At 37.2% G+C, this 17,847-nt stretch overlaps 1 protein-coding gene across 5 annotated transcripts in view, besides 1 other annotated feature; it reads left to right on the forward strand.

Annotated features, from left to right (window-relative positions):
- CPEB4 (cytoplasmic polyadenylation element binding protein 4) overlaps positions 1-17,847 on the forward strand; it is a 73,632-nt gene that overhangs the window by 49,011 nt on the left and 6,774 nt on the right. For 3 of the 5 annotated variants that reach the window (NM_001308191.2, NM_001308192.2, NM_001308193.2), the window contains 5 exons: positions 7,608-7,781; positions 12,149-12,238; positions 12,601-12,719; positions 14,465-14,579; positions 15,732-15,913. In NM_001308191.2, the coding sequence (NP_001295120.1) occupies positions 7,608-7,781; positions 12,149-12,238; positions 12,601-12,719; positions 14,465-14,579; positions 15,732-15,913 (680 nt within the window). Of the gene's footprint in view, positions 1-5,666; positions 5,691-7,607; positions 7,782-12,148; positions 12,239-12,600; positions 12,720-14,464; positions 14,580-15,731; positions 15,914-17,847 lie in introns of all 5 variants that reach the window. The other 2 variants (NM_030627.4, NM_001308189.2) reach the window with 1 other exon arrangement.
- Positions 4,301-4,939: an enhancer, noted in NCBI's record as "H3K27ac-H3K4me1 hESC enhancer chr5:173368663-173369301 (GRCh37/hg19 assembly coordinates)". NCBI's record gives its function as "activates a minimal SCP1, AML or CMV promoter by ChIP-STARR-seq in primed H9 embryonic stem cells {active_cell/tissue: H9 hESC(primed)}" and the evidence as "EXISTENCE:reporter gene assay evidence [ECO:0000049][PMID:30033119]".

Consider the following 17,847-nt stretch of genomic DNA (forward strand, 5'->3'; position numbering starts at 1 on the left):
AGTTTTTTGGAATGAAAAGAGGAAGATTGTTTGCTTGGGAGGGGGAAGAAATCTATCAAAAAGGAAGGTGTAATTTACTCAAGAGAAATGTAGATGATGATCACTTACTGAAAATGTGTGTAATATGGTTCTAGTTGCTACAATAATAAGCATGTTGAAAGATCCCTTCATTGAAAAGATAATATGAAAACAAACTGTAAACTCTAAAGTGCTCTACAATTGTTAACCTTAAAATGCTAATGAAAAGCTGAGAATAATTGTTGAAGATCATACTCAGAATATATGCATATGAATTTACTTTTGGGAAAGGGAGATTATTTATTGAGTATGTGACTGACCATTACATATACACATTGTGTTTTTCATTATTCTCTCATTTGCTTCCCATTTTTATAAATAAAGAAACTGAGGGTTAGGGACATAAGGAAACTAGAGTTGCATTCTCTGCTCTTTTCTAAGGTAGGCCTTACAAATAATAGTGTCTTTATCATATCTTAGGAACATTCTTTGAATGTTGTTGTACCAACAAGCTAATATAAGCATAAGCCAATGTGATAGGAATTTCTAACTATAAAGCAAATGTAAATTAATTTTGTGGCAGTGAGCCTATTAAATTAGGGATTAATTTATAAAATCATTTAAAATGGTTCTTTGCATCTTTGTTGAATCGTATGCTTTGGTCTTTGTGATGATTGTGTCTGCTTTTTGGTTCTACCATCTTTATTCTTTTGTTCACAGATTAATTCCTTTTAGCTTCAAGCCTTTGATTTATATCTTTTCAACTGATTTACTAATTTGGCTAATTTCTACACTCCTCTCCCCATATATTTTCTTTTAGTCCTCCTGGAAAAGTCAGGTTGTTTTGTTTTGTTTTGTACTGTTTTGAGACGGAATCTCGCTCTGTTGCCCAGGCTGGAGTGCGGTGGTGCAATCTCAGCTCACTGCAATCTTTACCTCCCGGGTTGAAGCAATTCTCCTGCCTTAGCCTACCAAGTAGCTGCGATTACAGGCATGTGCCACCACACCCAGCTAATTTTTATATTTTTAGTATAGACAGGGTTTTACCATATTGGCCAGGCTGGTCTCGAACTCCTGACCTCAAATGATCTGCCCACCTCAACCTCCCAAAGTGCTGGGGTTATAGGTGTTAGCCACCATGCCTAGCCAAAAGAAGCCAGTTATCTGATAACATCTTATCATCTGAGCTACACCCCCCTTTTTTTTCCAGATAGAATTGCTATTTGTCTTCTCACCTTGGGGCAGAGAGAGGTGCACAGTTGGAGAGCCTAAGGTAGATCAGCGTAACCCGAATAGGATCCGTTTTTTCATTGTCCACTAAAACATAGTAATATCTTATCCTTCATGGCCTAAAGTCCTATTCGTGACAGAATTGATTAGGTGCTGTCATGTAGGAAAGTATGCTTTTGTATGAAAGTAATAATGTCATTTGTTCATTTTTAATATTAGTACCAAGGAGAAAACCAAAAAGGGTTCATTAACAAATATAGCAATATAGCATATGCAATAATAATAAATTCAAATGGTACAAAAAGGGATAAAACAAGAAGTGAATGCCTTCTTTCCTCTTTCTAGAAGTTTCTCTCTCCAAAGGTTCTTGTGGTTGTTTCTAGAAAAAAGTATTTCATGGCCAGGCGCAATGGCTCATGCTTACAATCCTAGCACTTGGGGAGGCCCAGGTGGATGGATTTCTTGAGCCCAGGAGTTGAGACCAGCCTGGGCAACATGGCAAAACCCCATCTCTATAAAAATAAAAATAAAATAAAAAGTAAAAAGATTTTATGCATAGTCCCACATATCTATTTATATTTTCTTTATTTTTAAATGTACACAATAAGGATTCTACAATACACACTTAGACACTGCATGCAGGCCAGCATCTTAGAGAGCTTTAGGTACATGAACGTGAGCCACATTTAAAAATGCCACATGCTCAGTTAATAGGGTTGCTCCTTTGAAATACGTACATACATACATACATACATACATACATACAAATGCCACCTACTAGGTGTTTCTTCTTTTGAATGTGTGGGTACTTTGTTTCTTTTTGATTATTACAAATGTTGCAACAAATGAGAAAAAAGTACTTTTTATGGGATAAATAATATTTTATTTTTATAATAAAATGTATGGGGAGGGAGAAAGTCAGGGGAGCCCTGACAAGTCTTTCTGTACCTTCTTCGTAAGTCTGGCATTACAGATTAATGGAACATTTTGCTAGAGGGAATTTGATTCTGCATATAGGGCTAATAACAAGGAAAGGAAGCATTTGTAAGCAATCCTGTAAAGACGTTTTAGAAATAAAGTATATCAATAGATCTAATAGCAGGTATCCAGAAGTTATAAAAATTTATGGCCATAATATTTTGAGCCTTTTTTTTTTTTTAACAATCTTGAATCCTGTTAGTTCTGAACATTAAATTATTGAGGACTTTATAAATCAAAACTAGGCTGGACACGGTGGCTCACGCCTGTAATCCTAGCACTTTGGGAGGCTGAAGTGGGCAGATTGCCTGAGCTCGGGGGTTTGAGACCAGCCTGTTCAACAGGGTAAAACCATGTCTCTAATAAAATACAAAAAAAAAAAAAAAAAGCTGGATGTGGTGGTGTATAGTCCCAGCGAGACTGAGGCAAGAAGAATTGCTTGAATCTGGGAGGCAGAGGTTGCAGTGAGCTGAGATCGTGCCACCGCACTCCAGCCTGGGCGAGAATCCATCTCCAAAAATAAAAATAAAATAAATCAAAACTAAGAAATAATACAAGTGGATAAACATATAAATCGTAATCATTTAAACTTTGGTGGGGACTGGGAGATTTTTATTCAGTGGCAAGAGCATGCATCTAAACAATCTTTGAAGAGTCTACTTTTTGGTAACTGAAGGAAACTTCTGAGCAGGGTTAGTTTGGCTGACTTAGAACTTTTCCAAAATGTAGATTTCTTTGAACATAATTAAAGTCATTTTTTAACTTACACTTCCTCGGATATTTGAGAAACATCAAATAACAGGCAATACTTGCTAGTCATGAGATTGGAAATCTGTCTGACATTTTCCTCAGGAAAGCAGAGAAGTTCTATGTTGCAAGAATTTCATCATAAAGTGTGTGCCAATATAATTTGAAATAAGTGAGGAAAAGTGCTTAGTACATCTTTTTTATGTAAGATAAAGTGGCGTTATTTAGCATTCTATTAATGTCTGGGTTCTGGTTACATAGATCTGTTCAATTTGTAGAAAATTCATTGAACTTATGGTTTATTTTTGTGTATATGTCATATGTCAAAATTTACATGAAAAATAATGTATAAGTATTACAATAAGTGGAAATAAAAATTACACATTCTCGTTTTGCATGTTCCAGAATGTCATTGTTTTTATTTCTTCAATATTAATTTACATTAATTTCCTGATTTGATTGGGCAACTTTTATAGTTGTAAACATTATTCACTTATAACCTATTTTCCCTTAATATGAGAAAATATCTACATAGCTTTCAGAATTTAATCTCAGAATTTAACCATGAATTATTTTATATTGACCAGTTTAATTTTATAGTATACAATCAAAGTTTGAGAGTGTACATTTGAAGATTTCGAGAGTATTTGATTGTAACTTTTGATCCACAGCCCTTACTATTCCGGAAATTATTTATTTTTGATATAATGGAAGCCATGAGAGTTTTCATGTTAATTTTGTAGCTATATTATAAAAGCTTATTCTTTTCAAATATCTGTTTTCTCAGAAATCCAAGCAGCATCAATCAACTTTTTAAGATTGACAGCATTAAGATTTTCAAATCGTTACTTTGTTTCCCCAGACTCCCTAATCTTTGAAGCAGTTGTATGAATAGAATGTTCGTAAACAAGCATCTGCTTTGTGATGCTATTTGTCTTTCTAACCTCTGTCTGATTAAGTCAGAAAATACCTACCCCTCCCCAACCCCCTAAACTTAAGACCTATTAAAGTGAAAGCACAAGTGCTTGAGGGAGATTGTATGTTGTGTGAATCCATTTGCTCAAATACTTTGGTGAAATCCAGGGCTATCTAAGTGTGGCAGAAATGTATTTTGGTTTGAGATATAATTTCACTTTGGAAGATACTCACATAATATTTCTGAGTTATAATTATTTAGCATTTATCTGGAAGAATGAGAATAAAAACCTTGACCAGTTTGTGAGTTTGTATAGTGATTTCTTAAAGGAGCTATACCTTCTAACTCAAAAACCTATCCCAGGCTGTAACCCTGGGACTTTGGGAGGCTGAGGTGGGCAGATCACTTGAGATCAGGAGTTCGAGACCAATTTGGCCAACATAGTGAAACCCCATCTCTGCCAAAAAAAAAATACAAAAATTAGCTGGTCGTGGTGGCACACCCCTGTGGTACCAGGTACTGGGGAGGCTGAGGCACGAGAATCGCTTGAACCCGGGAGGCGGAGGCCGCAGTGAGCTGAGATTGCACCACTCCAGCCTGGGTGACAGAGCTAGATTCTGTCTCCAAAAAGAAAAAACCCATCCCAGTTTACTGTTGAAACCTCATCCCCAGCCAAGTCCCCACTTGTTCTACATGCTTCTGTTCGGCCACCTTTCCCTGAATGCTACAGCAGCACCCCTGCGTGTAACGCTGTTGAGCCTGGAATGCCCTTCCTCTGTTTTTCTGTTAAGGGCCACCTCAAATTCCCTACCCCCACCCCCAACTTTTTCATCAGAGTCAGTTCTTCCTCCTCTATTCCTGTTACACCTACCACATAACTAGTATAACAATAGGCATGCTACACTGTTGTTTGCTTATGTGGCCTTCTGGCATTAAAAGCTGCTAGTTCCTGGAGGTCAGGGACATGCACTATTTACTATTTATCCACAAGATCAGGCATTCAAGAAATGTTCGTTGGATAGAATTGAGGTGTTTGGACAGGCTGGGCTTATAAGTGCCAGTTTGTTTCAGGGAAGACATTTTCTCAAAGGTTTTCTGATTTAAAGTTTATACTGTCATTTCCTGAGTATTCCAGTGGATTATTAATTACCTTTACTTTGCCCCTTGGCTACAACCTACTTGGCAATAAAAATACCAAGCCTTTTACTTTTCAACATTTAGGACTTGGTAGAAGACTTGATTAGGCATAGGGAACTGTTGGCTAAAAGGAAGTTGATGAATTGCTTAAAGATTTCATTTGTTATGATTTTCTCTTATAAGGGATTAACTGAGGAATACTGTAAAGTTGTTATTTATCTTCTGGTGGTGAAAAAGTCATGAATTAAATATTGGTATATCTACTAAATTGCTAGTTAGCAGGGAATTCTGAGAGAAAACGTTATTAATATGGTAATAGTTGGTTTTTATTATGTTGTATACTGCCTTAGTTTCATAATAGTTTGAACCTTGGGCAACAATTACAGCAAAAAGCTTCCCATAAAACAAATAAGATTCAATAAAGTTTTACAGTGTCCTTGAAGAAATTTTAAAAATGCCCAAAATTGACCTCTTACCTCCCGTTCCTTGTTTTTTTAGACATTTACCAGGAAATGAAGAATATAGTCACAGTTTTTCCATTTTCAAAAGCTGGTAGATGAAATCACAGTTGATTCTTTTGACAATGTTTGAAAGGTTGTTTTGTTTTTTTGTTTTTGTTTTTTTCTCATTTGACATGCAGCAAGGACATATGGGCGAAGGAGAGGTAACATTGTTTTTAACTTTTAAATGTATCACTTGTATTTGGAGACGACCCAAGCTTGTTTAATTTCTAACCTTTGTGGGGAAGGGGAGAGGGGAAATGAAGCATAGCTTTGATCCTTAGGTAATTTTTGTGTTACAGTTAACATTTTAGACATAATTTGAAGGAGTTAAGGAGCTATAAAGAAATTTAGCAGAATGGTGGGATTTGGATTTGAATCAAAATGATTTCCCTGTGTTAAATGAGAAACTCAGCTTATTTATATCTAAAGATGTGCTTTTTTTCCTTTCTGAAAGGAATTTCTTAGAAAAAAATTAAGAATCTTTAAAAAGAAAAATATAGTGACACTAGTCCCAAAATACCTCATTATCTTGGAGGTTTAATTATGCTCAAATGCCTTATGTCAACTTTTTTCTTTTCTTTTTTACTAAGTAAACAATACATGTGGTTTAAAATGAGATGAGCTAAATAAATGACTAATCCTATAAATTTCAAACATTTGGGGGAAAAGCTCTAGAAATTTTAGGTAATTCTAAAGAATCATTTCGTAGAGGTACCTGAATAACTTATTCTTGGCACCTATATTTTGCCTTTTTACGAGAAAGTAAGACAGTTAAATAGCTTAGATTTAAAGGATAAGTGATTTTTTTAAGATCATTCATGAAATAACCTCCAGTTTTATAATCAGTTTGTGTCTTCACTTGACATATGCTATTATAGGATAAATTTATAAAAAATATACTGTTATTATTTGTGTTTAGTAATAGAAATTGAAGACAAGTGTGGCAAAACCTGGAATGTTTCTATTAAAGTAAGAGCACTTGAGATACATTTCTAGAAGATCCATTAACAAATTCCTCATGTAGTACCTAGAAGTAAATTGGCAGCCAGAAAAGTGATAAAACAGTGCTTGGGAGATTGTGCAGCTATTTGTAGCTCTGTGTTTTCCTTATGATTTAAAAGTTTATATTTTGCTGTCAGGTAAATATGGAAAGACTGTTACACATATTGGCATCTCTGGTGTTTCCTGCATATATATTCTGGACGATAAGATTTTCAAACAGCAAATTTAATGACTAGTTTTTAGAAATAGATAATACCCTTAGCAAGCTGATAATTACCCAGCTAATAATAAATATATCTTTAGCATGCCTAATAATCTTAAATTTCATAAGACTACACAATGAAGTTGGAATATAACATTAAGTGGGTTTTGATTATATCCCATTAGTTAAGGTAAATAAAAATGAGTGGTCACTTTAAAAATCTACTTGTTACGTTAGCCAGATGTCATGGCATGTGTCTGTAGCCCCAGCTACTTGGGAGGCTGAGGTGGGAGGGTCACTTGAGCACAAGAGTTTGAGGCTGCAGTGAGCTATGATTATGCCACTGTACTCCAGCCTGGGTAAAAGAGCGAGACACTGTCTCAAAAAAAAAAAAAAAAAAAATTGACTTGTTCATTTTAAGCACATTCTTAGAGGAAACTGTGCAGGCTATATTGTTTGATTTTTTTAAAGAAATGTAAGTGATTCAATGTCTTACAGCCAAATTTAATATTGAGTGTACATGTCTAGGTTGCCAATAGCCATGGGGCCCTGCCAAGGGAGTACAGTCTTCTGCCGACTGCTTGTTAAAGTGTGCTCTCTCCTCCTGTACTTCAGTTCACCTCACTGAAGTTTCTGGATCCCAGTGGGATACTTGAGTCGCCTTCTATTAATATTTAACTGTGTGCTTTCTCTCTGACTCAGTTGGGACTTTAAGTTGGTGGGAATTCAAGAGTATAGCTAAGTGTTTCTATTATTCAGTGAGAAAAATAAAAGCAGCAGTTTTATTGAATCTGCTGTTTCCTTGTTTCTTTGCATGATAATCAGTGGCAAGGAACATTTTCTGTTACCGTTTTTTCCCTGCTTTCTATTCCAGGTCAGTCTTCACTGTTTCCAATGGAAGATGGATTCTTGGATGATGGCCGTGGGGATCAGCCTCTTCATAGTGGCCTGGGTTCACCTCACTGCTTCAGTCACCAGAATGGGGAAAGAGTGGAACGATATTCTCGAAAGGTGTTTGTAGGCGGATTGCCTCCAGACATTGATGAAGGTATGTTTAGAACTGTTTATAGCACGGTGCCCAGATGGTGGCACATAGTAGGAAACTCACAGATAGTGTTACAATAACAGTCTTATCTGGCTCCAATAGTCAGCCCTGCTTGCATTGTTCTCTTGTCCTATCCTCCTATCATGGCATATAAGATTAATTCATAGAAGGGAGGGGAGCAGAGCTGTGCAAACCAACTAAAGCAAGGCATTGGACTATATGAAAAGGAGTAAACATCACTGGGAAAGCTTCCAAGGGACTTGATTATTGTGGGCATACATGGGTACTAACTGCGTTTTTGTCTGTGTGTGCTACTTTGGACAAATTCATTGATGTATTTTCCTTTTTCCCCCCACATTTTATGAGTGCTCCACAAATGTATAGTTCATTGTTTAAAATCTTAGACTAAGCATGAACTTTTGAAAAATATAGCCTACAGTTGTACTACAAGAAGGATAATCTTACTTAAGGTAGTAAACAAGATGGAAGGTCCCTGCTTACATAGAGTTTACATTTTATTGGGGGAAGGCCCATAAACAATGTATAAATATGCAAGAAAATACTGGAGAGCAAGTGTTGAAAAGCACACAGCAGGATGATGTAAAATAGTGATGCAGGGAGTTTCTTTTTAATTAGGTGGATAAGAAAAGCCTCTTTGAGGAAGTGATATTTAAGCTGAGACCTGAATAAGGAGCCAGCCATGCAAAGACTTAGAGGGACTTGTTCAGGAATATGCTATTCATCCGTGGGTCTGAGTGACCCCAATAAAAATCAAAGTAGCAGACCTTATAGCATATTTTTGGTTGCTTTCCTAATTTCTTTTGTCTTCGTTTCCTGAGTGAAAATGGAAATACACTAAATCACATTATGGAGAATAGAATAGATTTCTTTACACATGTATAAGATCTAATAAATAATAAGGTTTAATATCTTCACATTTAGATTGGGATCAGACTTATCAAGTCACTTCATTTTCTTCAAGATGATTTATCTTTTGGAAGGTTGAGACAGAAATGGTTCTAAAAAGCCAAAGATTGAAATAAACATAGAGGTTTTTGCTTTTTCTTGTTGTCCACAATAAAATGTCTTGGTGGAAGCTATGCTGAAATTTCAGGGTTCTCTGAATCAATCTCCATCCTGCCCTCAGCATAGCTTGAAGAATATTGTGTTCTGCAGAATTGTGCACTAAAAATTACAGGGTTTATGGGGGAAAATAAGGTTAAAGACAAATCATTTAAAAGCTAATGAACTTTGTACCTGAAGCACTAACAAGAAGAGAATTAGTACCTTGGAGATAACTTGGACAATTCAGGCAAGTAGCTCAGCATGCTTGGGGCTGCTTCAGGGAATATTGAAAATGTACAAAACCAATAAAGCAGAAATGCTGGCTTGCAAGCATGGAGAAAATGCAGATGGAAACAGACCTTTGAACACCTGAGGAAGCGCAAACTAAACTGTCAGGAGATAAGAGCCCTGCAAGGTTAGGGGCATAGCTCTCTGACAAGAGAATTCTGGTTGCTGCACTTATTTTTAATTTTCTTACAATAGAGCTGGGAGGGTTTGTACCTGTACGTCAGACAAGTGGGGGGCTTTTTCCTTTCCTGATGAAGTTTGTAATTCTTTCCTCACTATGCTAGCTTACCTTGCCTAGGAAAAATCATTTATGAACCAGTACAACTTCCATGTTATACTGACATTGTTCCCTGTTTACTAGACTCACACAAACTAAACTTACTCTGCTCACACTACGTATTCCAAACTGGAATATCACCATAATGGTGCAATACCATCCTGTCCTACCATGCGCATGTTAACCTTTTTCCCCCCCAAGATAAGGGCTCACATAGTGAGCCCTTATGATACCTATGAGAATAGGTATCGTAGAAGAGCAGACTAGACTGTTTCACAGTCTGGGGAAGATGAAAACAGCTCTGCCAGACTGGAATTTAGGCATACTCCTCATCTTTCTTTTCTGTTCCTTTACCCTGCCCTATTATCAGGTCTTATCTACACATGCTTACCTACTCTTTCTAGAAGTCTCTTTGAAATGTATTTTTCCATAATCTCATTAGTGTCCAAATGTATAATGTAGCATAATTTGTATCATTTAAATTGCAAAATGTGGTCAGGTCTTCCTTGTCTATCATTTTTTCCCATTCATCCCTTTTTCCTCTCCCTCTAAGGCTGAGATATTGCTGTCAAGGAAGTGGATTGGTGACAGGGAAGAGGTCTCAAGTGGAGGGGATGTGTATGAATGTATGTAGAGGGGGCTTGCTCAGAGGCCTGAGCAGCAGTACGTATGGTATCCAAGAAATAAGGGCGAGAAGACCCAAGGCACAAAGGTAGAAGGTAGAGGAGGCTATAGGGGAAAGATTGGTTACATTGAGCAAATTAATAAATGTCTTTACAGGTATTGGGAGCTAGGTTTCTCCCTGCAAAAAGAGAATATAAAAATAGAAAGGCGGAAGGCTAGAAAAACCCATGAAATGTTGGAGTCATATTGAAAATATCAATATGAACTCATTAGTTTTTGTAAGTACATACACAGATACAGAAATAGTTATAAATTTGTGTTTGGGCGTGTATTTCTTTATTTCCTAGCTTCCTTCACTGTGAAGACTTAGAAATAATGAATACTCACTAGCAGTGAGCATATAGAGCACCTGTAACTTAGTTTCTAAATACCTTTTGCCACTAAAATGATCAGTACATCTTGAAAAAAAATGACTGATTCTTGGGCTGGGACAGGGAAAGAATAAGACGAGCCCGGAGTATCTTCGTAGGCCAGAAAGCATGAAAGTGCTTAAGAATGGAGGCAAGAAGTGCGAAGGACATGGGAGCCTCCCACGCCTAAGGGACACGCAGGACAAAAATTGTCCCAAATCAGGGACAATTTTGGGGACAAATTGAGCATCAAAATAAATGAGTGAATTGGATCACAACCCATTGAATAAAATAGACCCAAACTGATATCAATAAATGAATAAATCAATGGGACAGATGGAAAACTCTTCTACTGCACAATACTAACTAATATATGTAGAAGGAATGATGGAAACAGATAATCATTATTTGGCAACCATTATTGTGGTAGTTAATACATGCAGGAGTCTTCAATGGATGCCAAGGCTCATGAAGGAACAGGATATTGGTGAGCAACACAATATACTCTTGTAGAACGCTAATTGAATACAAAAGGAGAAAAGGTTTGCTTGTGGTAGAGAAACCAGGCGATCAAGATTAACATGCCCTCCAGGTGTGGTGGTATGCACCTGTAATCCCAGCTACTTGGGAAGTTGAGGCAGCAGGATCACTTAAGTTCAAGAACAGCCTGGGCAACATAGTGAGCCCTTATCTTGGGGGAAAAAAGATTAACATGCTCATGGTAGGAAAGGATGGCATTGCACCATTATGGTGATATTCCAGTTTGGAATACGTCACATGATTCTGCTCATAGGAGGGAGAGCACAGACCCAGGTTGAGGGTCACTATCTTAAATCTGTTCAGGTTGCTATAAAAAAATAACAGACTTGGTGGCTTATAAACAACTGAAATTTATTTCTCACCATTCTGGAGGCTGGGAATTCCAAGATCAAGGTGCCAGCAAATTCAGTGTCTGGTGAGGGCCTGCTTCCTAATAGATAATAATCTTCTTATTGTACACTCACATGGCAGAAGGAGTGAAGGGTCTCTCCAGAGCCTCTTTTATAAGGGCACTAATCCCATTGAAAGGATTCTACCCCCATGACCTAATCACCTACCAAAGGCCCCAGCTCCAAATACCCTTACATTGGGGAATAGGTTTCAACATATGAATTTTGAGGGAACATAAACATTTGGACCGTAGCAGTCATTCTATAGAATGAATATGAAAGACAAGAAAGAACATGGAGCTGTTCCAAGTTGAAAAAAGACTGATGCTCTGAGGATATGATAATTAAGTGCAACCTATGTTCTGGATAGCACTGTGGATCAGAAAGGATTTTGAAATTTAAATGAAGTCTGTGAATCGCATAGTAGTGTTATATCAAAATTGATATATAAGGGAGTGACCCTGCTTTGAGCAGATACCAATAGTTATGTTTGGGATTACAGGGCACCATTTCAGAAAAAGATGCTGGCTGGCTGGCTTGGTTGGATGGCTAGATTGATTTGTGCATATGTACAGATAGAGGGAGAAAGAGGAAGAGAGAAGAAAGAGGGTGAAGGCAGATGTGCAAATTATTAACAGTTGGGGAATCTAGATGAAGGGGATAAAGGAGTTCTTTTTACTGTTCTTGTAAATAGTAGATTTGAAACTTAAAAGAAAAACTTTCAAAAAATGATCATAAAAATATTTAAATCTACTGTTTTCCTTTGTTGTTTATTAGATGAGATCACAGCTAGTTTTCGTCGCTTTGGCCCTCTGATTGTGGATTGGCCTCATAAAGCTGAGAGCAAATCCTATTTTCCTCCTAAAGGTAATTCTCAAGATTCATTATACTTATGTAATTTATTCTTACATTGTTTAATGTGTAGCCTTTTCATAAATGTTCACCTTCACTGTAAAATGTTGCATTGTTAAACTTGCATTTTCCCAAATGCTCTTTAAAATTTCAACATAATATTCTTTTAATTCAAATTTAATTTTACTCTAAAAGATGCTTCAAGATACTACCAAAATGAACTGTATGTTGATGTCATCAGACTTTTGGTATAAATATTGTTTTAATTTTTTTCCTATTCCTTTTTCCTTTCTTTAGTTTTGTGCATGATTCCTTTCCCCTGAAGAATTACCAAAAAATAGGAAAACATGTAAGCCTTCTTTCCCCCTTTTTTCCAGGCTATGCATTCCTGCTGTTTCAAGATGAAAGCTCTGTGCAGGCTCTCATTGATGCATGCATTGAAGAAGATGGAAAACTCTACCTTTGTGTATCAAGTCCCACTATCAAGGATAAGCCAGTAAGTGTGGTTTAGCATAAAATAGCTTCTTGTTTTTGCCTCCATTCATCTGTTATATTTGAAAAACCCATAGACAACTTGATGTGTTTGGGGTACTTAATTGACATGTTTGTAAGCAGACTAAGTAGTCTTGTTGTGAAGTTCTTAACATTGACATTCTGTGTATTTGCACATCTCAATTTGACATCGAATTTTTGGTTAGTTGAAATATAATTGGTAAATCTTTATTTTTAAAAGATTTCACGGCTGGGCATGGTGGCTCACACCTGTAATCCCAGCACTTTGGGAGGCCGAAGCAGGTGGATCACATGAGGTCAGGAGTTCGAGACCAGCCTGGCCAACATGGTGAAATCCAGTCTTTACTGAAAATACAAAAATTAGCCAGGCATGGTGGCGCACATCTGTAGTCCCAGCTACTTGGGAGACTGAGGCAGGACAATCACCTGAACCCAGGAGGCGGAGGTTGCAGTGAGCAGAGATTGCACCATTGCACTCCAGCCTGGGTGAAAAGTGAGACTCTGTCTCAAAATAAAATAAAATAAAATAAAATAAAATAAAAAACCAGACTTCATTTGATAATGCATTTAATAAAATAGCAGAATCAACTCTGAATAACGGAACTCAAATCACAAATACTATGTGTACGTCTTTCTAGCGTTTTCCTCACTTTAATGAAGATTTTACCCAATATTATCCTTAACTTTATATATGGTACTCTCCAAAGTAGACTGAATCGTGTATATACATGTACAGGTACATTGCATACTGTTTTTTCTTTCTGGAAAAGTTTATCATAAAATTTAGTCTTTAGGAAGAGGAGCAACTGGCATGTTTTGATGACTCTGGCAAAGCAGCAGTTTATTATCACTCAGCCAGCACCCAGTGAATGATGATAGTGCAGAATGGAGTTGTCAGTGGGCCCAGCTTAAGCAAATAACATCTGTGGAGCTTCTCCTGAAGTCTTGTGGTTGTCTAGGTCAGAAACTTTCGAAGAGTTCCTGTGGTCTGGACTCTTTCTGCTTGACTTGTTTATGTTCCCTGCCAATCCCCATCCGTATTTGAATTTGGGACCTCTGACCTAGGACTCTGTTGGTGTGCATATTTGGGAATACACTGCTGTCAACCCATAGCCTTTGGTGTGGGCATTTGTGACAGTTAGAAAATGTGAACAGTTTTAAATGAGGTACATGATTCTTGATTGACTTATCTAATGGATACACTGAAGTATTTGTCATAAAAAAAAATCTATTGCAAATATCATCAGTATTTTTACTTTGAAAACCATTTTGAAATAATGCATCAGATTTGATAGTATCAGGAGTAGTTTGCATTTCCTAGACATACACTGATTGGACACACAATTCTTGTTTACTTAGTATTGTATATTGATTGGCATTGGATACCATGCTAAAAATTTAAATTATGTAGATATTGAGGCATTGGACAGACTAAAGGCCCAAATAAGCTGAAAAACAGTGAATTAACTTACAAATAATTGTGGACATGTTAAGTAATTTGGCTTATAATAGACAATCAAATTGAACTTTCCACCTTGGTTTAGTTTACTTCTAAAAATGAAACGATGGGTTGGGATACACTGTTTTTAAATCTTCTAGTTTCCCAGCTTTATTGACTTGTAATCATAGGATTATTGCTTTTAAAAATACTTTGTAATAATTGTTAACTTTTTTGCCCATGAATTGTCTGTATTGAGAATGAGACATTTTGGTTTGTACATTCCCTAGGTCCAGATTCGGCCTTGGAATCTCAGTGACAGTGACTTTGTGATGGATGGTTCACAGCCACTTGACCCACGAAAAACTATATTTGTTGGTGGTGTTCCTCGACCATTACGAGCTGGTATGATTAAACAAACGACAAACTCTCTACCCTATAGCGCAAGAAATATGAAGATCTTCAGGATAAATTTTTCCTAAGAATTGGAGTTAATATCCAAGAGTGAGAGTTCTAGAATCAAAATATCTGGGTTTGAATTCATGTGTTCTAATAGTTAAGTGACCTTGGACAAATTCCATGACTTTTCTAATTCCCAGTTTCCCCATCTGTCAAGTAGGGATGAAAAGCGTTTCATCCCTAGGATGAAATAACACCAGAAAAAGTATTTCCTAGTGTTATTTTGAGGGTTGAATTAGACGACCAGTGCAAAGTACTTAGTCTAGTGTTGCATAATGCTAATTATTACGCTCATCATTGTCTGAAAAGAAAAAAAGTCCTTCAAGAATAGATTCTGTATTGAGATTGTCAGTATTTGTTTCCCACATCCTCATTTGCTCAACAGCGACTGACTGAGCTCTGGGATATAATAGACTTCCCAGCAATGCATCAGATTTTTAGGGTAGTACTTACAGAACAAATTAAATTCCTAACTTCAAGTAATTTGAGGTTTAATAATATACATGAGATAAAAAGACATAACATGAACAGGAATGTAGCTGCACGATTTTAACACTTCATAAAGAAGAAAATGCAGTCATTATTTCAAGGTTTTTTTAAATGAAAAATTGGTGAACTGACTGTGGGGAAAGAGTTTTGATGGAAATAAGCCAGGAGGGCCCACAAAGAGTCTACCAGTTAGTTTTCTAGTGTTCAAGTAATTATTACATTAATCAATACATTATTAACTGGTAAATCTATGGCAGCAACATGGCACAGAGCAGGCAAACATGGGAGTACTATCACTTAATGACCTGTGACCTTGGACAGATGGATCACCCTTTCAGCACCTCAATTTCCTCAGGAAATTACTACCTACTTCATATAGTTGTGAGAAGAATAAAGAGAACATACTAGAAAACACCTAGCAACCCCTTGCCCACAATTAAAAGATTAAGGCTTAACACAATGGATGACTGGTTGTAGTAATGTTTCATTTTAATAATTATTATAATGATGTGAGCTCAGAGTACAGATGAATTGCTTTTGATGAAACGGTTGGTGAGCCAGATGAATTTTCCTGATTTTAAATATCCTCCTTGTTCCTTTCTTAATTAGTGGAGCTTGCGATGATAATGGATCGGCTATATGGAGGTGTGTGCTACGCTGGGATTGATACCGACCCTGAGCTAAAATACCCAAAAGGAGCTGGGAGAGTTGCGTTCTCTAATCAACAGAGTTACATAGCTGCTATCAGTGCCCGCTTTGTTCAGCTGCAGCATGGAGAGATAGATAAACGGGTAAGCCTTATACTACATTTTGGAAAATTCTAGAAATGGTCCTCTAAATGTGTGATTACCAATATTAGAACGGGAGCATTTTATGACAATAAAGTGACAGCTGACAATTTTGCCTATAGAGTTAATTATGGTCTATAATACATGAAATAATGTCCTATGAATTTCTTTTATCTTTCAGTTTTTTGAGTAGCCTAATCAGAACACTACAATTTACTTGAGTTAATTTAATCTTCTCTAACTTCCATTCAATCTCAATCCATCCGTCCATTCATTCACTTAGTTTGTAAGTCATTCAATAAATATTTACTGAATCCTTTGTTCTGTGTTATATCAAGTATACAAACAGGAATGCCCTTGAGGTTTCCTGCCCTTTTTTTTGTTTGTTTTTTAATCCTGGGACATAGGGAAGACCTCAGCAAGCCCTATTTCTCAATGAATTGTACTCACAGATTTCTTTTTTTTTTTTTTCTTTTTCCACAGCCGCCACCTCTCACCGATTTATTCCTTAGCTTGGTGTTTCATGTATTCAACAAACGTTTTAGTGCTTAGGGCAAGAAGTTCCTGTCCTCATGAGTTTATTTCCTAGCAGATAGAACTGTATCACTTGCCAGTACTACTCAGAGTGTGGCCTGTGGACTGACCTCCAGTCTGTAAACTTAGTTTGTAGTGAGATAGGAATTTAGACCAGAATGTGTAATCAACCACATTACTGGGCACAATGTTTGGTCCAGCTGGCGATTTTTTTTTCATAGAAAGCCTTTATTGATGAGGGAAGCAATATATTGATTTATATTTTGGGGTCACCTTTTTATTTCATGGCACACTGGCACTTTCATGCATGCTGACTTTGATATCCATCACTCTGAGGCATTGTGCTAAAATAGATTGATTTTATCGTGTTGTTCTCAATTCAAGATGTAAAAATCATCAAGTCAGTAGCAGTTTTTGCTTTTTATGTTTCATGTCATGTACAGTCTACTTCACTGGCAGTAAAAAAATTTAAGATAGTGGTGGTCATCCTACAAACTGTGAATCTATTAAAGAGAAAAGTATCTGTTCTATTCTAAGCATGGGGGAGGGACAAGATTAGTATGTTAACATGCCTACTTTGTTTGTTTGAGATGGAGTCTCTCTCCGTCACCCAGGCTGGAGTGCAGTGGTACAGTCTCAGCTCACTCCAACCTCTGCCTCCCGGGTTCAAGTGATTCTCCTGCCTTAGCCTCCCGAGTAGGTGGAATTACAGGCATATACCACCATGCCCAACAAATGTTTGTATTTTTAGTGGAGACAGGGTTTCACCGTGTTGGTCAGGCCAGTTTCAAACTCCTGACCTCAAGGGATCCACCTGCCTCACCCCCTCAAAGTGCTGGGATTACAGGCATGAGCCACCCACCATGCCTGGCCTACTTGGTTTTTTATGCACACTAAAAAATACCTACATCTCACTGCCTTATTCCAACATAAGTTTCAGAGCTGTGGGATTGGTCATTAGAAATTCAGACTGAATTTGTGTTCCTCTGCAATGAAATCCTTTGCCCAGTGTTCATGTCACTCTGTAGACATTATGGAGCAGCCTAGAGGCCAGAAGCCCAGTGCTCTCCTTATGCCTGCTCTTCCTGGGCTTCGTGACACTCTTCTTCTCCTTTTGTACTTTTATTTTTTTAGTTAAAAAATTTTTTTTAGAGGGAGGGTCTCACTCTGTCACCCAGGCTGGAGCACAGAATCACAATCATGACTCACTGCATGTTCTTCTCCTTTTGTTCATGGCTAATCTTGGTCAGGATTCCTTGTCAGAGCTGGGTGGCACCAGTGCTGGTGACAGCCTGCTGTAAGGGAGTTTCAGCCATGAATCTCTCCAGACTAAAAATAACCAGCTCTTTTCTAGCTGATGAATTAATAACCAGGTGACTGTTAATGCTTGAAAGGTTCACATG

The sequence above is a fragment of the Homo sapiens genome, chromosome 5 (genome assembly GCF_000001405.40).
Source record: "Homo sapiens chromosome 5, GRCh38.p14 Primary Assembly".
Classification (NCBI taxonomy): domain Eukaryota; kingdom Metazoa; phylum Chordata; class Mammalia; order Primates; family Hominidae; genus Homo; species Homo sapiens.